Source organism: Homo sapiens, chromosome 4 (genome assembly GCF_000001405.40).
Source record: "Homo sapiens chromosome 4, GRCh38.p14 Primary Assembly".
Taxonomy (NCBI): Eukaryota; Metazoa; Chordata; class Mammalia; order Primates; family Hominidae; genus Homo; species Homo sapiens.
The window spans coordinates 164228671-164251191 of NC_000004.12; the positions used below are offsets into that span (position 1 = coordinate 164228671).

The 22521-nt window shown below is 36.5% G+C and overlaps 1 protein-coding gene across 5 annotated transcripts in view, besides 2 other annotated features; it reads right to left on the reverse strand.

Annotated features, from left to right (window-relative positions):
* MARCHF1 (membrane associated ring-CH-type finger 1) overlaps positions 1-22521 on the reverse strand; it is an 859722-nt gene that overhangs the window by 704373 nt on the left and 132828 nt on the right. The gene's annotated exons all lie outside the window — the stretch shown is intronic.
* Positions 12632-13142: an enhancer, noted in NCBI's record as "H3K27ac-H3K4me1 hESC enhancer chr4:165162454-165162964 (GRCh37/hg19 assembly coordinates)". NCBI's record gives its function as "activates a minimal SCP1, AML or CMV promoter by ChIP-STARR-seq in naive H9 embryonic stem cells {active_cell/tissue: H9 hESC(naive)}" and the evidence as "EXISTENCE:reporter gene assay evidence [ECO:0000049][PMID:30033119]".
* Positions 13143-13653: an enhancer, noted in NCBI's record as "H3K27ac-H3K4me1 hESC enhancer chr4:165162965-165163475 (GRCh37/hg19 assembly coordinates)". NCBI's record gives its function as "activates a minimal SCP1, AML or CMV promoter by ChIP-STARR-seq in naive H9 embryonic stem cells {active_cell/tissue: H9 hESC(naive)}" and the evidence as "EXISTENCE:reporter gene assay evidence [ECO:0000049][PMID:30033119]".

A 22521-nucleotide genomic window follows, 5' to 3' on the forward strand; every position in this document is an offset into this window, starting at 1 on the left:
CAAATATTAAATTGAAGGGTGGTACATTTTTATTTTCTAACCCCTTTGTTCAGGATTTCTTGACAAAGTTTAGCTCATGTGAACAAATGGGTGAAAATCTATTGGCTTTCTCGATAAGAGAAAACAAACAAATGTTTCTAGGACCAGTGGACCAAATCCTAGTCTTAATAGAGGGAGGAGAGGAAGACAAAGTAATGCCCAGATAATGATCACATTGTAGTCCATAATGAAATCAACAGATAAAGAAAATTTGGTATTTAAATCAGGACTGTAAAAGAAACAAAGGGAAAGGGGAAAGCATAGCTTTGTGAGTACATGCTAAGGCAGGGGCGTCTGTATTAGCGAAAATTGGATGTTAAAAGAGAAGTTCCATAGATATGACTTTGTGCTCAAAAAGAAGGATCTCAAATATATAGAAAGCTGTCACTACATGGCAGCTTTTATCAACGGAAGTATTACCTTGTAGTTTTCAATGTCAACAAATTCTTTGACACATCTGCCTTCAAGAAGCAAAGCCTGATTACCCTCCTTTTGCATGTGGACTAGACTCAGTGTAATTGTTTTTAACGATGAATAGGATAAGGTGGAAATGCTGGTTGCAATTTCAGACGCGAGGTTATAAAAGCAGCTTTGTACCTTCCTTTGTGTGCTCTCTCTTTGGATCACTCATTCTAGGGAAAGTTAACTGCCCTCTCATAAGCAACACTGTGGAAAGGCCTGAGAGACCAGGGCTTGAGGCCAGCTGCCAATAGCCAATGGGGGACTGAGGCCTTTGGCCAATAGTCATGAGAGTGGTGTTTCTTGAAAAAGGAACTCCCAGACAGAGTTTGAAACAGGGTTTCAGTCTGTCACTCAGGCTGGAGTGCAGTGACACAATTATGGCCACTGCAGGTGAGTTAGTCCTTTCCCACATAGCTATAAAGAAACATCTGAGAATGAGTAATTTATAAAGAAAAGAGGTTTAATTGGCTGATGGTTCTGCAGGTTGTATAGGAAGCATGATACTGTCATCTGGTTGGTTTCTGGGGAGGCCTCAGGAAACATAAAATCATGGCAGAAGGCGAAGGGGGAGTACAGACTTCACATGGCCCGAGTAAGAGCAAGAAAGAGAACAAGAGGGTAGGTGCTACACACTTTCAAACAAGCAGATATCATGAGAACTCACTCACTCTTGGGAGAACAGCACCAAGGTGATGATGCTAAACCATTCATAAGAAACACCTCCATGATCCAATCACCCCGCACTAAACCCCACCTCCAACATTGGAGATTACAGCTCTACATGAGATTTGTGCAGGGACACAGATCCAAACCGTACCACCTGCCTTGACTTTCTGGGCTCAAGCAATCTTCCTACTTCAGCCTCTGGAGTAGCTGGGACTACAGGTGTGTGCCACTGCTCCCAGTCCCCAGTTAAGCATCCTTTTAAAAACATTGATATAAGGCTGGGCACGGTGCCTCATGCCTGTAATCCCAGCACTTTGGGAGGCTGAGGCAGGTGGATCACCTGAGGTCAGGAGTTTGAGACCAGCCTGACCAATATGATGAAACCCCATCTCTACTAAAAATACAAAAATTAGCTGAGTGTAGTACATGCGCCCATAATCCCAGCTACTCAGGAGGCTGACACAGGAGAATCACTTGAACCCAGGAGGAGGAGGTTGCAGTGAGCCAAGGTGGCGCCATTGCACTCCAGCCTGGGCAACGAGAGCAAAACTCCATCTCAAAAAAAAAAAAAAGATATAAAATAGTTATATATATTTGAGGGGAACATGTAACATTTTGATAGATGTATATAATATGTGATGATCAAATCAGAGTAATTGAGATAACCATCACCTCAATTATTTACCTTTTCTTTGTGTTGAGAACATTACAGTTCTTTACTAGCTATTTTTACATATATAATAAATTATTATTACCTATAATCTCCCTACTATACTACCAAATACTAAAACTTATTTCTTCTATCTAAGCCTCTGGTAATCACCATTCTACTATCTACCTCCAGGCTGACATCTGGACTACAATTGCTTTAGAGGCCCTTAGCCAGAACCACCCAGTTAAGCCACTCCTGAGTTGTTTTGAGTTACTAAATTCAGAAGGAATTTGTTATGCAGCAATGAATAACTACTACATGTTACTATTATTATTATTATTCTTGGTAAAGAGTTAGGATGTGTATTTGCTTTTATTGTGCAGTATACTGTTTTCTGAGACAATAATTGAAATTTCATAATCCCCAGGATGTCAAAATGTTCCTGTTCTGAAAGCATTGCTGCCTAGAAATTCTGGGAACAATAGATATGTAAAAATAGAACACAAATGCTCAAGAAATCCTTTCACCTTACAACTAGCAGGATCCTCTCTTATTAAATAGGATGTGGATGGATATAAAGGTCCAGGACTTAAAGTGAGGAGCGAAAAGAACTGATGTATTTTCTTCAGTTCATCCAATTCTGTCCAAATTCTGTCTCTACCAATAACTCTATGTTGTTTTGATGAAGAAAGAAAAGGATAAAAATATTTTAACAAAGAATAAAAATATAATAGTAAAATGTTTTGAGGTGAAATAAAAGTACATGTCACCCCATCTGACCTCCCACACAAATTTCTTTCACAGTATTTATTCCTGACAATCAAAATATGGCTTCTTTCATATTTCTATTGATAGAGAAATGGCCAATTTATTTTTTTATGGCATGCTAAAATTTAGAAATGCCAATTGTTATATTCTTGATAGGTTATAATCTTTTCCCCTTGGACATATTTCTGCAGTCTGGATCAAAACAGAACAAATCTAGTGTGTAAATTGTTCATATTTTGAAACGGTTAACATGACATCTTTTAATTTTAGCAGAGATGTGTGAAAAGAACACTCAGAAGTGCTTGACACACACATTACTAAGTGAGAAAACAGAATGAAGGAGTTAGAAATGAGTATAGACATTTTGATACGCCATGGAGAACTAAGAGCTCAGAATCAAAACTCATGGCTTTAGAACATAGGGTCCTATCTTTTGCTCTAGTCTTTCAGCCCAAATTATACATAAATAACCAACATTAAAGTATCCAAAGAATGCATTCTCTCTATATACTTTTCCCTGAACCTCTACTATCATAAGAAAGACTCATAATGGTAAGTAATAAATTCTGACAGAAAAATAAGTTCTTAAATCTATAACCATTTCTACTTTCAGGCCCTAATTACTAATTACGGACAACTATATGCTTTGACACTATAATTGCAATTAAAATGATTGAATTACCCCTAGTCATATCATAAACAAATTCCTTGAGTTTAACACCTATTATAAAATGTTTAATAGGGTGACTGACCAGTAAGAAATTTACAATTAAGCCACTGTATTATTTCATTTGCATACAATCTTTTCTAAAGAAAAGAAGGCAGCCACTCACATGACAAGCTTGATTAGTTCACAAAGAACAAAGTCAGTACTAATTTTAGTAAAACCTAATTTTAATCAAGCAACATCATTTTCATTCATCATTTTTTTTCTAATCACTGCCATCACTTGAATGCCAAACAAAAGGGATTGCTACTTTTTGAAGGTTAATACAGTTATCACACGACATTTATGCCCATTACTAGAAAACACTGCAAATCCCTCACAATGAATAAATATTATTCCTGCGACTGTAACTGGATGTTCTTAGGTGTCTTTGTGTTTATAAAGTTGTATCACACACACAGATAGACATAATGACCAAAGAGTACATGAAGTCAAAGGAGCATAGAATGCCTTATGTTAAGTATATAAGACAGTGAACACTAATAGCAATGAATGATAGCCAATAGCCAAAAATGCAAATCCCTGTCTCTCATACCCTGAAGGTTAGAACTACTATTTCTAAACCATAAACTCACCCTTGGCCGATATGCAGCCACCAACTGATTTATAGCTTCTTTGGTAATAATGTATTTCACATGTGGTTATTCCTTTTAATCATAAATAATTGCTTAATGTCATACATTAAAACTCCATACCTTGTATGGTATCATATCAAAAATGCTTTATGTTATATTGAATTGTGACAGTAAAATAAATTATTCTTTGCTTGGCTGGTTAAAGAGTATTTAAGTTAGAGAAATTGTATATACACACAACTCTATATCTTCAATTTCAGTGTAAGATGCAATAGTAGTTACACAACTACAAATGCCACACACAGAAACCTATAGACACGTGCTGTATTTTTGTCCATTTTATAAAACTTCTTCAACAGTGAACATGAGTTTTTCTCAACACTATAACTACCTGTATAAAACTGCCTACACAAAACTAGCTACAACGCTTACCTGTGCAAAACTTCCCCTGGACACCCATCTGCAGGCTCAGCTCTGTTTTAGAAGTAATTTCAGTGCCATACAAGAGGCTTTTAAGCATCTAAAGTAATACTTTTGGACTCAGAATTATAACACAGGATTTGGTAATTAATAGTACCCCTATATGTGTTTGTTGAATAAATAAATAAATCCTATCAGCAGGTTTACTCTCTTAACTCTTACTTTGTAGTCCAACTCTCATAACTGGGTTTCTGTTTATTTCAAAAAAAAAACACATTACTCTGCTGTTCAAAGTTACTGATAATCAGACCCTGGTCTTATTTACTCTTCTGGAATTTCTGTCTTATTAACCTGCCCAATGACATCATTGTTTTGAGTATAAGGCCCTGCCATTTTTCTCAATGCCCTGAATCCCCAGAGCTTGGCTTTAGTTAAAATTTAGGGTCTAAGATATTGCCACTGACTAAAATTTGTCTTCATGGCTGGCTGCTTGACTTTCCTATTCATCTCCCCTCTTACACCCCTCAGAGCCTTGGTCTGTTTACCTCTCATGACATACCATTATCCTGGACTGAACTACTCTAGGCCAACCACGGGACAGGACTGGTGGCTGCGGATGATGTCCATGCCTTTAAAACCATGGCTTGAGTAGATTGTCTCCCCACTAGGTTCTAATCCTCCAAGTGTAGGTCCTATCCTCCAAGATGGCCCATTTTTTCTGCACCTAGCCCAGGCAACAAGGATGATCAATGACTTATTACTTTTATGGTCAGTGCAAACTGTTAAAAAATGAAGGTCTCTCTCATGTTTGGAAACTGAACCATGTAAATATTTTGGCAAAATTTAAAGGATATACCAATACCACCATCACTACCAAGAAAGAAAATGGTGACATAAAATCTAAATGTATTTCTATAAGGTCATTTAAAAATATTTCAATTTACAAGAAAACCAAGTTTTTCTTACAATTTAGATGCCACATGAGTATTATCAATTAAAGTTCAAATCAAATAGCAAATTATTTCTGAAGCATTTTTCAATAAGAATTTATGTTTATCCATCAGTTACTTCTGAATTGTCTCTATCAATTGAGGTCTATTTTGACATTTTGAATTAAGATGAAATAGAGAACCTCTGGGAAAGTCACAATGGAATTGCTACCTATCTAAAATTACTATGAAGGATAATTACCTTCTGGATGCAATAGAATGATTTAACAAGCTACAGTTATTAATATCTAGGTAAACAATTGAAAAATATTTAATCTGACAATCTTCTGAAAACTCTTTCAAAAAGGCTTATAGACTTATGTATGATATGCTGAATAATTACTATACAATAACTACTTATGGTCATGGCTGGAAAGATATAATGCAATGCCTACTTATCTACGATTTATTTTGCCAGAAAATTTAAACATTTTTAAAATAAGACATGGCCATAAAAACAACCATAAAACCTTTAATATAAGACCTTGTTTTATTCAGTGAAATTAATTTATTGACACTCCTATGATAGAATAAATGACCAATACAGGGTTTCAGCCTACTTGTTCCCTTTTTTCTTTATAAAATGCATTACTGTAATGCATTTCTAAAGGAAACAGTGAAAGATAAATGGGATGAAATCTTATAATGGATTGACTTGGGATCCTTTTTCAAGCTTTTTCAAGTTATGCCCTGTTATCAGAACTAATTTGCCTTAATCTCTTAAATCCACAGAAATGTACAATGAAAATGATGTGATTTTGAGGCATCTTAAGATCTTAAATCAAAGGCAGATATAAAACTTTTAAAAAGATTTTCAGTCTCAGCAGATAAGACAAAAAAGGGTTCCAGTTAAACTACCCTTACCAGAATCCATATTTACTTCAGCAACTGAATTTCTACTCAGCGGTGCTATTGATTTACACAGATTCTGATAGTCTTTGTTGAGGCCTGATGAAAAGAAAACAAGTGATTTCATACCCAAATAAGTTTTATCACAGCTTCAATCAGGCTAAGGTATCCATACTTTTGTCACCCTTTTTATGTTTTTCCCGCTACAATTTAGTTCCAATTTCCCTTCCTTTACATCTCTTTCTCCTCACACTCATTAAAGAAGGGTGTTCTCTAAACGTTCCCCCAGGCCTCTTCTTTCTTTCTACCAAATCATTCACTTCTCATATGTAATTATAAACTTTTCAAGAAAACATTCTCGATTTTATCCAGCTTAGTTTCTGTAGTTACACACAAGGACTATGGGAATAGTCCCCATTTCCCTGTATCTCATATTTCAAATTCTAAATGGCCCTAAATAACAAAAATATACAAAATTATCTACTTATTCTTTAGAATATTAAATGTTTTCTTCACGTTGGATCTGAAGTATTAGATCCATTATAAAAATAAATATGTTTCAGAAAATTATTGAACCCAAACTGAAATTGAGTCCTGTTGTTTTCCCCTTTCTGTAAGTGCTGAGGATTCAGAACCTTCTCAGATAAAGTTAAAGTTGTCGTTTACTTCTTAAGTTCTAGTTTAATTTCTCTTCTACTCTTCTTTCTCTAAAAAATACAGGAACTATTAGTGAAGAGGCCGGTTATATGCAGAAACTGGCATGGCAGCAACTTGGATGGAGCTGGAGACCATTATTCTAAGTGAAGTAACACAGGAGTGGAAAACCAAAGACTGTATGTGCTCACTTATAAGTGGGAGCTAAGCTATGAGTATGCAAAGGCATACAGAGTGATACAGTGGACTTTAGAGACTCAGAAGGGGAAGAGTGGGAGGGGCCCTGGGGATAAAAAAAACCAGTACACATTAGGTACAATGTATACTACTCGGGTGATGGGTGTACTACAATCTCAGAATTCACCACTAAATAATTCATCTATGTAACAAAAAACAACTTGTGCCTTAAAAGCTATTGAAATAAAAAATAATAAAAACCATGCAAGTTCTTTTGGCCTCCTCTCCCCTAGTTCACATCCTTGCCTTTTACACAAGGAGAGGCCGCATTGCTTAGGTGTTTGCGTGCTATTTTTAATGTATGTATTGTCTCCTGATACGTAGGAAGCAATACTCTCAATAGAATCTTCCTGATGTCCTAAGGATTCTAATTTTTTAGTACCAAGCTTATTTTAATCACACTTCACAAATCACAATGAACAACAAAAGACACAAATTTTGTCAGTCCCACTAGTTTATGCTCTATAAAGCCTCTTGAACACTAAATTAGCAAATATTGAACCATTGCTTCTAAGGGAAATACTGGGTTAGGTTTCCACAGCAGCTGGTTGAAACATTTCCATTAATAAATCAATATATAACCTTGTTTTATTCATGTTTTTCTTGAAACACACCTTATTTAAAATATGCTGCTGACTGATTAACACTGAACTCATAGCCAGCAGGACTCATGCTTGTCCAACACAAATATTTTTTCTGCAAGACACATAGCAGCCTTCTTGTGCTTAGGAAAACTAGACAGCACTTTGGCACTACGATGGGGCCATTTTAAACAGTGAAATCACCAACAAAAAGCACTAAAATGGGAAAAAACATGCCACTAAATAGACTGCCAAAAACATGCTTGTTCACGGCATGAGATCTGAAATAAGAGGGCAAAGCATTGTCTTGTTTAACCTAAGCTGGGAACATGTGCATTGAACATCTCAAAGTTTTTGCCACACTGCACATGTCTGCAAATGACCACACAAGTGCCAAGGGTATTGATTTTGGGGTTACAAACAAATTTAGTAAGTAGTCAAATTCACAAATAAAGAACTGAGAATAATGAAGACTGATTATTTATAACCCAAATGATTAATATGCTCTATTTGGAACACCTTTCAAGTAGCAGCTTTGAAATGTAAAAACTATAATTTCTCTCTGACCCCTAAAAACTGTGAATTTTATATATTCCTAACAATGCTTCCTCCAATTTGAGCCTTCTTCCACTTCTCTGGTCATTGTCTATCTCTTGTAATTGCACAACAGTAAAATCCACCTTTGCTTTCAGCAATACAGGACTCTACTCCACGTTTATATCTATCATTTGGTTCTTCAGATTTTCAAATCCAACCACCTCTTTCAAATAAACTCAACTTTCCACCATTTTGCACACTTTTCCTTGACCATGCCATGTCTTTAAGTATCATTCATTTTCTTTCTGTTTTATTTGGAAATCTTTGAATACATCATTTACACCTGATGACATAATTTTATTTCCCTATCAGCCCCAATTCTTTAAAAAATCTGGCTATTACATAGAACACCCAAGTAAAATTACATGCTTCACTAACACCAGAAACCTTTTTTCTGTCAAGCCTGATGGCTTTGTCTAAGATCTCAGTTAAACATGAAGCACTTACTGCTATTTTGTTTGATATTTTTGCCCATTCTGTGTATCATGCTTTTGTTTGCTTGGCATTGCTCTATGCTGCTGCTTCTTTCTCTCTGCTAACACAATCCTTTCTCTACTTACCTATTATCTGTAGGTGTTTTTAAAGACTAGGAACATTCAAACACCTGGACCACAACCCATAATAAGAAATACATTTTATATTATGACTCAGTACATGCACATATGCACACACACAAGACAGAAATATGATCATATCAGAAATAAAATTTTATAATTATCTTTATTAATTGCAAAACACTCTGATATTGCTTTTTATTCTATTCAGTTTCTTTTTTAATATTCATGCTGCTCAGAAAGTGCTTCTTTCTGCACTTAAACGATCCCCCCAAAATGCAGCGTAGTGTTTTGTGTTTGACCTAGAGAGAGGTTTTAAAGTTGACAAACTATGACATGAAAACATAAATTTCAGGCATGAAATTTTTATCAACATTAAAATGAGGAAATTAAGAATATGCATTCTTAAAAAGACTGGATACAACCTACTATCTGTATTAACAAAATGCTAAAAAAAATTGGGGAAAATATCAAAGAACAACTGATCCATGTGACATATTTTGATGAATATTCAAGAAATTTTAAAATTATTGATTTATCTATACATGGGAAGCTGTTATTTCTACTTTAAAATTAAAAACAATTAAACTAATATAATTCAATGATTCTGGAAAACCACTAAAAGGAAATACTCCATTATAAGCTTTAAGTAGAAATTCATATAGAATAGATTTATTTTAAATTATGTAAACACTGGTAATTTCCCAATTTTTAGACTAGAGCTTTCATAACCTTTTCTTGAAAGTTATTTCCACTGAGCGCATAACTGTCGGTTTAGTTCAAAAGCAAACTCAGAAAACCTGGGCACTTGGGAACCCATTCCTCTCTACTCCAGTGGTGAAGTAAATATTAGAATAGACAAAGAGAGTCTACAGAGAAAAAACAATAGTAAATCCATTAGAAAGTTGAATCAACAGTTGACCAGGCTTATTCATACTGACATTTTCCAGATTTTGCATACCAAATATTCTGCAAAGTTCAATTTGCATGACTTTACAAGGAAAGAACTGAGTCCTCCATAACTCTACATCCCTTGATAGCCTTATATTTTAATCACTAATGTAGTAAATTTATATTTATTTATGCCTTTAACCTTCCTTGGAGGGTAGATTTTAAGTTAAATATTATCTAAAAAGTAAGAGATAAAAAAATCCATTATTCCATTTTATGTTTTTAATAAAATATGGTTAAGATATTTGTATAGTAGCTATATTAACATTGAATCCAGAAAAAAGTTACTGAGTTTCCTACAATAGAAGAAATTATGTTTAATGAATAGTATTTATAAATATATGAAACAAAACCCTAATTAACCAAACTCTTGTCAATTTTGCCACTTATTTTTCTTGTTAAATAGATTTTCTATGAATATTAAAACTCTCTTTTAATCAGGTCATTTTGGATGAAACTATTTTTAAAATGTCTTATGTATTTCTATAATTTCTTATGAATAGAAATAATATACTTGACTTTATTTGGATAATTGGAGACCCTGATAAGGAAACCTGATATTCTGTTTTACTAGAGTTAGGATCTCAAGGTTCACAGTTTCTTTGGGCTTTTCATCTGTATAGTGAATACCTATGGATCACCATTGTTTTTCAGGTTATATATTTGTTGATTATAGGGGTATTTCTTCTCAGCTTCTTCATGGGTTACATTTCATCTATTATTTAATCACTTCATTCATTCATGTATAGATATATACATAAAGTAAATCTTTCCTGCATCCTTCATAATTGGTGGACTTTGGTCCCATTTAAATTGTGTATCAAAGAAAAGTGAATAATCTCTGAGTGAGGGACAAAATGGATGTGTCATGATCAAAGTATAGTATATTCACTTTACAAGAACTCTGGAGCATCCACTATGGTTGGATAAAGGTCTAAGTTTACTTATTTGATAGTTCCTACCTGTATGGCAGACACTTGAACTACTGTTATAGTTTAAAAATTGTTTTTAATAATTTACCTATAGATTATATTTATTCAGAGACTTTTAGTATTTGATAACTTTTTTAAAACTTTAGTATCCCTAGAGATCTTCCTAATCATGTGGTTTGACATGATTATAGTCAGATAGTCCTTGACAACTTTGATTTTCCTGCTGGATTATACAGTATTCAGATTGCTTTGTCAGGGTGCACTACAGTATGAGTAATTCAAACATACTTTGAGCATAAGTGTTTTGACAAAATTTGAAAATGTCTGCTTACCCATCTAAATGATGGACCCATCAACATTTCCAGTAATGACACCATGACACCTTAAGTAAGCATTAATGTTAAACTTGATCATCTCTCAAAAACTTGAACACTCACAAAATAATTTTTAAGAGTGTATGTATATGTCATATTCTTCTTTTCATTTCTTTGACTTCCTCAGCAATTTTACAGAACATAGTGTTGATTTTATATTTATGAAAATCTTTGACAGCAAGAAACCATTCTTAATACTATGATTATTTTATAGAAAATATGTTCTTCTATTTCTTGCATTGATAAGTACATGCTTAAGTAGAGTAAGAGAGCATCTTGCTCTAAACATTCAGTGTTGTCACAGCTATTTAATAATTCAATAAATAGTCATTACACATTTTCTAGGTGCTAAGCATTGACATAAACTGGACAAATGAAATAGATTGTTCATCTCAAGATCTGTATGACTTCAAGGGACATGTAAATAAGAACCAGGAGACCTGGATTCCAGTTCTAATGAGCCACGAGACTGGAATGTTCCTTTACTCTTGTTTTGTCAATAAGCCTCTTCAAGTTCACTTTCAGTTCACAAATTCTCGAATTTTTCTATAAGCCTATTAGTAACAAACAATCCATTAGAGGTGATCACAAAGTACCAGCACGTGGGAGTAGCTTGACTATGTTTTATTTGGCTTTACTTTGGAATAACCTTAGCCATCTTTTAGAGATTGCTTTCTGCAATGTATATTGGTGTCTGGATAAGTTTCCAGGACCAATTCCAATGGAGACTCCTCATTCCTCATCTTGCTTTATGTCTGCATCATTGGACCTCTGCTCCCAGATTGTTACTCCCACCTGGCTGTCTCCCACCATTCTAACTACTCCTTTACCAAAAAAGCTGTCTCTTCTTCCTCTGCTTGTCCCTTAAGTCCTTTGAAAATAAGTCCTCAGGCATTCTTATCTTAGGTCCCACCAACTGAAACTGCCTTTGCAAAAATTGTAACAGTGAGAGAATTCAGACATAACTGACTCCATCTTGCTTCTAACCTCACAAGCTAACTGCCCTGGCTCATTCCTGGGCATGGGACAAACTGACTATGGGAAAAATTTAGTTTACAGTTTAAACTTAAAGCAAGGATGATAGTAGCTATCATGACATTCTTTGTTGGGGGAAACTACCTCCATTCCTTGTTTGGGGACTGAAACCACCATTGTAAAACTAATAAAAAGCCACAGGGTTAGAATTATGAGAGAGGGCTGGATTCTGCTAAGGCCTATGCATTTTTAGGCAATAACCAGCCGTTCTTCCCTAGCTTGCTTACTGCTCAGGAGTCATGTAGCCAGAGGTCACACGACTGGGGACTTTTTCCCAATTACTCCTATAGGTAAGACCACTATCGTAAAACCTAAGATTGGTCTTTCAGAGATTTTTTTTAGACTTTTGCATTAAGGCAACCATCTGACATCACTGAGACCCATGAATCGTACCAAGGAACTGACTCAACTCGCCCTGTGACCCCCTCACCCAGAAACTGACTCAGCCTTCGAAGACCATTTGGACAGTCCCATAATTTCATCCCCAACCAATCAGCAGTATCTATTCCCTAGGACCTTAGATTATTTTCAAAAACCCTAGCCTCAGAACTCTTGAGGAAGGGGATTTGAGAAATACCTCCAGTCCTTCCACTCAGCTGCCCTGCGATAATTAAGCTCTTTCTTTGCTGCAACATCATTGCTGTTGTGCTCCTTTGGCCCAGCGATCACTCAGCACACATAATTGTCCTGAGTTCACACCCTAGATTGATTAATATTTTCATCTTTTTTGACAATAGTTTGCCTTCCCTTCCCAGTATACAATGATAAGTGTTTGTGGTTTTGTCAAGAGGCCTAAAATCAAGAAATTTCTCTTTTCTGTGTATATTAAAATGGACTTCCCAGAAAGCAGAACAGAGACATATACTATTATATAAAGAAATGGGGGAGGAGCCAAGATGGCCCAATAGGAACAGCTCCGGTCTACAGCTCCCAGCGTGAGCTACGCAGAAGACGGGTGATTTCTGCATTTCCATCTGAGGTACCGGGTTCATCTCCCTAGGGAGTGCCAGACAGTGGGCACAGGTCAGTGGGTGCGCGCACAGTGCGCGAGCCGAAGCAGGGCGAGGCATTGCCTCACTTGGGAAGCACAAGAGGTCAGGGAGTTCCCTTTCTGAGCCAAAGAAAGGGGTGACGGATGGCACCTGGAAAATCAGGTCACTCCCACCCGAATACTGCGCTTTTCCAACGGGCTTAAAAAACGGTGCACCACGAGATTATATCCCACACCTGGCTCGGAGGGTCCTATGCCCACGGAGACTCACTGATTGCTAGCACGGCAGTCTGAGATCAAACTGCAAGGCGGCAGCGAGGCAGGGGGAGGGGCGCCCGCCATTGCCCAGCCTTGATTAGGTAAACAAAGCAGCCTGGAAGCTCGAACTGGGTGGAGCCCACCACAGCTCAAGGAGGCCTGCCTGCCTCTGTAGGCTCCACCTCTGGGGGCAGGGCACAGACAAACAAAAAGACAGCAGTAACCTCCGCAGACTTAAATGTCCCTGTCTGACAGCTTTGAAGAGAGCAGTGGTTCTCCCAGCACGCAGCTGGAGATCTGAGAACGGGCAGACTGCCTCCTCAAGTGGGTCCCTGACCCCTGACCCCCGAGCAGCCTAACTGGGAGGCAACCCCCAGCAGGGGCACACTGACACCTCACACGGCAGGGTATTCCAACAGACCTGCAGCTGAGGGTCCTGTCTGTTAGAAGGAAAACTAACAAACAGAAAGGACATCCACACCAAAAACCCATCTGTACATCACCATCATCAAAGACCAAAAGTAGATAAAACCACAAAGATGGGGAAAAAACAGAACAGAAAAACTGGAAACTCTAAAAAGCAGAGCGCCTCTCCTCCTCCAAAGGAATGCAGTTCCTCACCAGCAATGGAACAAAGCTGGATGGAGAATGACTTTGATGAGCTGTGAGAAGAAGGTTTCAGATGATCAAATTACTCTGAGCTACGGGAGGACATTCAAACCAAAGGCAAATAAGTTGAAAACTTTGAAAAAAATTTAGAAGAATGTATAACTAGAATAACCAATACAGACAAGTGCTTAAAGGAGTTGATAGAGCTGAAAACCAAGGCTCGAGAACTACGTGAAGAATGCAGAAGCCTCAGGAGCCGATGCGATCAACTGGAAGAAAGGGTATCAGCAATGGAAGATGAAATGAATGAAATGAAGCGAGAAGGGAAGTTTAGAGAAAAAAGAATAAAAAGAAATGAGCAAAGCCTCCAAGAAATATGGGACTATGTGAAAAGACCAAATCTACGTCTGATTGATGTACCTGAAAGTGATGGGGAGAATGGAACCAAGTTGGAAAACACTCTGCAGGATATTATCCAGGAGAACTTCCCCAATCTAGCAAGGCAGGCCAACGTTCAGATTCAGGAAATACAGAGAACGCCACAAAGATACTCCTCGAGAAGAGCAACTCCAAGACACATAATTGTCAGATTCACCAAAGTTGAAATGAAGGAAAAAATGCTAAGGGCAGCCAGAGAGAAAGGTCGGGTTACCCTCAAAGGGAAGCCCATCAGACTAACAGCGGATCTCTCGGCAGAAACCCTACAAGCCAGAAGAGAGTGGGGGCCAATATTCAACATTCTTAAAGAAAAGAATTTTCAACCCAGAATTTCATATCCAGCCAAACTAAGCTTCATAAGTGAAGGAGAAATAAAATCCTTTACAGACAAGCAAATGCTGAGAGATTTTGTCACCACCAGGAAGGAAGCACTAAACATGGAAAGGAACAACCAGTACCAGCCGCTGCAAAATCATGCCAAAATGTAAAGACCATCGAGACTAGGAAGAAACTGCATCAACTAACGAGCAAAATAACCAGCTAACATCATCATGACAGGATCAAATTCACACATACCAATATTAACTTTAAATGTCAATGGACTAAATGCTCCAATTAAAAGACACAGACTGGCAAATTGGATAAAGAGTCAAGACCCATCAGTGTGCTGTATTCAGGAAACCCATCTCACGGGCAGAGACATACATAGCCTCAAAATAAAAGGATGGAGGAAGATCCACCAAGCCAATGGAAAACAAAAAAAGGCAGGGGTTGCAATCCTAGTCTCTGATAAAACAGACTTTAAACCAACAAAGATCAAAAGAGACAAAGAAGGCCATTACATAATGGTAAAGGGATCAATTCAACAAGAAGAGCTAACTATCCTAAATATATATGCACCCAATACAGGAGCACCCAGATTCATAAAGCAAGTCTGAGTGACCTACAAAGAGACTTAGACTCCCACACATTAATAATGGGAGACTTTAACACCCCACTGTCAACATTAGACAGATCAACGAGACAGAAAGTTAACAAGGATATCCAGGAATTGAACTCAGCTCTGCACCAAGCGGACCTGATAGACATCTACAGAACTCTCCACCCCAAATCAACAGAATATACATTTTTTTCAGCACCACACCACACCTATTCCAAAATTGACCATATACTGGGAAGTAAAGCTCTCCTCAGCAAATGTAAAAGAACAGAAATTATAACAAACTATCTCTCAGACCACAGTGCAATCAAACTAGAACTCAGGATTAAGAATCTCACTCAAAACTGCGCAACTACATGGAAACTGAACAACCTGCTCCTGAATGACTACTGGGTACATAACGAAATGAAGGCAGAAATAAAGATGTTCTCTGAAACCAACGAGAACAAAGACACAACATACCAGAATCTCTGGGACGCATTCAAAGCAGTGTGTAGAGGGAAATTTATAGCACTAAATGCCCACAAGAGAAAGCAGGAAAGATCCAAAATTGACACCCTAACATCACAATTGAAAGAACTAGAAAAGCAAGAGCAAACACATTCAAAAGCTAGCAGAAGGCAAGAAATAACTAAAATCAGAGCAGAACTGAAGGAAATAGAGACACAAAAAACCCTTCAAAAAATTAATGAATCCAGGAGCTGGTTTTTTGAAAGGATCAACAAAATTGATAGACTGCTAGCAAGACAAATAAAGAAAAAAAGAGAGAAGAATCAAATAGATGCAATAAAAAATGATAAAGGGGATATCACCACCAATCCCACAGAAATACAAAGTACCATCAGAGAATACTACAAACACCTCTACGCAAATAAACTAGAAAATCTAGAAGAAATGGATAAATTCCTTGACACATACACTCTCCCAAGACTAAACCAGGAAGAAGTTGAATCTCTGAATAGACCAATAACAGGAGCTGAAATTGTGGCAATAATCAATAGCTTACCAGCCAAAAAGAGTCCAGGACCAGATGGATACACAGCCGAATTCTACCAGAGGTACAAGGAGGAACTGGTACCATTCCTTCTGAAACTATTCCAATCAATAGAAAAAGAGGGAACCCTCCCTAACTCATTTTATGAGGCCAGCATCATTCTGATACCAAAGCCAGGCAGAGACACAACAAAAAAAGAGAATTTTAGACCAATATCCTTGATGAACATTGATGCAAAAATCCCCAATAAAATACTGGCAAAATGAATCCAGCAGCACATCAAAAAGCTTATCCACCATGATCAAGTGGGCTTCATCCCTGGGATGCAAGGCTGGTTCAAACCAATAAACGTAATCCAGCATATAAACAGAACCAAAGACAAAAACCACATGATTATCTCAATAGATGCAGAAAAGGCCTCTGACAAAATTCAACGATGCTTCATGCTAAAAACTCTCAATAAATTAGGTATTGATGGGACATATCTCAAAATAATAAGAGCTATCTATGACAAACCCACAGCCAATATCATACTGAATGGACAAAAACTGGAAGCATTCCCTTTGAAAACTGGCACAAGACAGGGATGCCCTCTCTTAGCACTCTTATTCAACATAGTGTTGGAAGTTCTGGCCAGGGCAATCAGGCAGGAGAAGGAAATAAAGGGTATTCAATTAGGAAAAGAGGAAGTCAAATTGTCCCTCTTTGCAGATGACATGATTATATATCTAGAAAACCCCATCGTCTCAGCCCAAAATCTCCTTAAGCTGATAAGCAACTTCAGCAAAGTCTCAGGATACAAAATCAATGTACAAAAATCACAAGCATTCTTATACACCAACAACAGACAAACAGAGAGCCAAATCATGAGTGAACTCCCATTCACAATTGCTTCAAAGAGAATAAAATACCTAGGAATCCAACTTACAAGGGATGTGAAGGACCTCTTCAAGGAGAACTACAAACCACTGCTCAAGGAAATAAAAGAGGATACAAACAAATGGAAGAACATTCCATGCTCATGGGTAGGAAGAATCAATATCGTGAAAATGGCCATACTGGCCAAGGTAATTTACAGATTCAATGCCATCCCCATCAAGCTACCAATGACTTTCTTCACAGAATTGGAAAAAACTACTTTAAAGTTCATATGGAACCAAAAAAGAGCTCGCATCGCCAAGTCAATCCTAAGCCAAAAGAACAAAGCTGGAGGCATCACACTACCTGACTTCAAACTATACTACAAGGCTACAGTAACCAAAACAACATGGTACTGGTACCAAAACAGAGATATAGATCAATGGAACAGAACAGAGCCCTCAGAAATAACGCCGCATATCTACAACTATCTGATCTTTGACAAACCTGACAAAAACAAGCAATGGGGAAAGGATTCCCTATTTAATAAATGGTGCTGGGAAAACTGGCTAGCCATATGTAGAAAGCTGAAACTGGATCCCTTCCTTATACCTTATACAAAAATCAGTTCAAGATGGATTAAAGACTTAAACGTTAGACCTAAAACCATAAAAACCCTAGAAGAAAACCTAGGCATTACCATTCAGGACATAGGCATGGGCAAGGACTTCATGTCTAAAACACCAAAAGCAATGGCAATGGCAACAAAAGACAAAATTGACAAATGGGATCTAATTAAATTAAAGAGCTTCTGCACAGCAAAATAAACTACCATCAGAGTGAACAGGCAACCTACAAAATGGGAGAAAATTTTCACAACCTACTCATCTGACAAAGGGCTAATATCCAGAATCTACAATGAACTCTAACAAATTTACAAGAAAAAAACAAACAACCCCATCAAAAAGTGGGCAAAGGACATGAACAGACACTTCTCAAAAGAAGACATTTATGCAGCCAAAAAACACATGAAAAAATGCTCATCATCCTGGCCATCAGAGAAATGCAAATCAAAACCACAATGAGATACCATCTCACACCAGTTAGAATGGCAATCATTAAAAAGTCAGGAAACAACAGGTGCTGGAGAGGATGTGGAGAAATAGGAACACTTTTACACTGTTGGTGGGACTGTAAACTAGTTCAACCATTGTGGAAGTCAGTGTGGCGATTCCTCAGGGATCTAGAACTGGAAATACCATTTGACCCAGCCATCCCATTACTGGGTATATACCCAAAGGACTATAAATCATGCTGCTATAAAGACACATGCACACGTATGTTTATTGTGGCGTTATTCACAATAGCAAAGACTTGGAACCAACCCAAATGTCCAACAATGATAGACTGGATTAAGAAAATGTGGCACATATACACCATGGAATACTATGCAGCCATAAAAAATGATGAGTTCATTTCCTTTGTAGGGACATGGATGAAATTGGAAATCATCATTCTCAGTAAACTATCACAAGAACAAAAAACCAAACACCGCATATTCTCACTCATAGGTGGGAATTGAACAATGAGATCACATGGACACAGGAAGGGGAATATCACACTCTGGTGACTGTTGTGGGGTGCGGGGAGAGGGGAGGGATAGCATTGGGAGATATACCTAATGCTAGATGACGAGTTAGTGGGTGCAGTGCACCAGCATGGCACATGTATACATATGTAACTAACATGCACAATGTGCACATGTACCCTAAAACTTAAAGTATAATAATAAAAAAAAAAAAGTTAAAAGAAAAAAAGAAAGTAAAAAAAAAAAAAATGTAATCCCAGGCAATGGGAATGAAGGACAAGGGGAATGAAATAGGGCAGCAGAGATATTATGTCGCTGTTTTTTCAAAATGGTCATGGCTAAAGGTAACTGAGATCTTATCCAACTGTCTTCTGCATAGCCAGATAAATTTCACCCTAGAACATTCCATCTAGTATGGGAAAGGAGGTATTTGTATCTATCATCTGCCAGTCCAAATTTCAAGGGAGCAGAATTAGGCTTCCCTTTTTGACAAGGAATTGGTCAAGTTGCATTGCTTAAGAGCTTGGGAATGTGAGATGTTTTTACAGCCACATTGGAAAATACAATCTACCACACTGTCTCATAATACTCCACACTTAGTAAACATGGGAAGCCATTGGGGAATAATATCACATTCTTAAAGATTATAAAATTGAAGTTATTTTCTTACAACCACACACAAGTCAGGACCTAGAGAAAATTAGGACCTATATTATACCTGAAGTACTCCTCCATGTATCAAATTGCAACATACAACTTTTTAATTAAACACTGACACAACAATAAAGTTATTTAGTGACCAATATTCTCGAGCTGGTTATGTGGTTTCATGAGTTCTTTCTGTAACTCTGTTATTAATTTGTGACTTTGGGTAAGTCTTTTAGCAGTTGAATTTAATTAAAAAATCAAAATATATGCACCAATCCCAAGGTGCATTGTGAGAGTAAATGTCCCATTGTTAAAGCCTTTTAGATATCTGCCTAGTAAGGGCTACAAGATTATTATAATGGTGATGGTGACAGTGATTCTTGGAGAAAAAAGGATTATTAGTATTATGATTCTCTTAGAAATTTACTTTTGTATCTCTCACAAAACATGGAGTTTTCCTCCATGTTATCAAAGGTTTTGACATATTCTCAAGCAGCTTCTGAAACGCAACCTAAATTTTCATATCCACAAGAATTCTTTTGTATGTTCACAGGAATGTTAACAGGATGAGAATAAATGAATAATGTTTTAAAGAAGTTCAGTAATATATTCTCCATTGTGTTCTAGGGATAAGTTGTTCAATGTTTAGCACTGACCATGTAAAATTAGGAAAACAATTGTTAAAAAAATATATATATTACTGGCAACATCTCATCCTTAATTATTTCTCAGTTCTTTACATGTATTTCTTCCTATAATCAGAAGGATTCAAGACAGAAAAGATCAAAAAAACACTATACTGTTTCATATAAGGGCTAGGAAATTTTAAATTTCATAATTCATTCACATAATTCATAAATTATGAAATTTAAAAATTCATAATTCATTGGAATATGTAAATAAACCAAACATGAACCTCTAAAGAGATGCTTTATATTTACCAAGTGTTGCTACAATTTCTGTTTACCAAAACTTTTCCCCAAGTGTTGCTGGCATTTCATTCATATCTATTTATTTATTCAACAAATAGTTATAAAGTTCTAAATGAAAATATTTATTTACAATCCCGGGGTAGATACCAACATGAAGAAGATACAGATTCTGCCATCAAGGCTCTTAAAGATTAACAGAGGAAGAAGACATGTAATTAAGGCAGAAGGTAGTGAAACATACAAGTGAAGCGTGAAGTTGGGTGAAGAGATGATTGCATCACTTGAAGTGACTTGAAGTCACTAGAAGAAAGGAAGGCTCTGAGCTGTACCTTCAAAATATAGGTTTGATTTTTGATGTATGGGAATGAAGAAGACATTCTGAGGCCCTGAGGCAGAGAGGAGCATAAATAAAGACTGAGAAATGAAAATATGTGATGTATATGTGAAATCAAAGCAGCTTAATGTAGGCAGCAGGGGAGGTTTCCAAAGAGTAGGCAAGAAAGAAAAAGAGAGATGCCTAGATACCCCATTACTAACTGTCCTAAATCTAAAACATTGTAAATTGAATTTTATTTTGTAGATATCAGGGAATCCCTTGAAAATTTATTAGTAGAGGAAGAACACAACAGGACTATATTTCAAGAAGTTTTTTCTACCAATCTATAAGAATGAATTAAGGAAGAAAGTGCTAGGGGTCGGGGAGAACAGTAAAAACCAGTTAAAAAAAAATGACCCATGCAGTTAGATTCTGACCTAGAATACAGACGGTTAGGATTAAAAAAAAAAAAAAGTCTTATGAGAGTTCATGCATTTGATGAGGGAAGCAAGGAAAAGAACAAACTGAAAAATGATTATTTGATGATTAGATAGCGCTTCCATTGACAGAAATGGAAAATACAATAGAAAACTTTGAGAGAGGTATTCAGGGACAGAAGAGTTGGAAGAGCAAACAATTACTGAGCAACTCCATATACATTTCTATGCATATTACTGGTTTTATCCTATTTAACCTCATGATAGATGGTGAAACCGAGGTAGTTGAAGTTATCTGCCCAGGAGCACAGATAGTAGCAGGTCTAGAGAAGACAATCAGTTCAGTTTGTGTCATGCTAAATTAGAGGAAGAGGTGGAAAACTTAGGTGATGACATGTAGCACTGATTGGAGCTCCATAAACAGAGCAGATCCAAGATAGATTTGGGGTGAGTTATGTGCATGGTTAAAGTCATTATGTTTTAGAATGTCAATGGAGAGAATATAGCATTAAAACAAAGAGGCAGGAGAGATGGTCAAAGAAAATAGAAGGCAACAATTTTTCAGTGTAGATATTCAAATTAACTGTTACATCTCAAGGATTTTCATTTGTTACCAGATTTTAGAATGTTCCCCCAGAAAGCCAATATAGAAGATGCTCTGAATGTGGACACTGTGAAATATAAACCTTGAAATTGCATGGTATAGGCCAAATACTTTCAGTACTATTTTGATCTTATTGTGTAAACTGGGTGATATAACTAGGGGAAAATTAAAACTCTTTTAATTTTCCACTTCAAGATTTCTTAATTAATAAAGTTAACATCACTTATATAATAAATGATGTGGCATTTTAATTATATTTTGGGAAATTATTTCTCATCCCAGGTTGATTAAATAAATTATTGATAATTGATCATAAATCTCATAAAACATGATAAATTTGAGCTTGGATCTGTTACAACTAAAGCAATTTAAATTTTCTTAAATTACTAGAAGCTATAAAAATAAGATGATAAGATATTTTAACAACATTGCCTAGAACAAGAAAAGGAGAAAAATATAATGGAAAATGGAAATCAAGAAGAGGAAGACTCCATCAAACCCTTCAAATCTATCAACGAGAAATATCTGAATATATGCTCTTGTTACTACTTTCAAATTGGACTAAATTACTCCCTACCTCTTTTTGGTTTTTGATGTTGGTTTTGTTTTCATTTGGGTCAGGCAGTATTGAAAATACTTGAGTAATGTCCTTTCTTCCTGACATTTAATAGATCCACAACAATGATCAAGAAACATATTTCTATGAACAATTATTATTAGCATAATGATTTAACATACATGATCATCACCAATGTGCTAGCCATTATGTAAAATTAAATATTTAGTATAAACTTTATGTTCTTCTCTCCTCTGAGTTATTCATTTCTGAAATATATTTCCCTAACA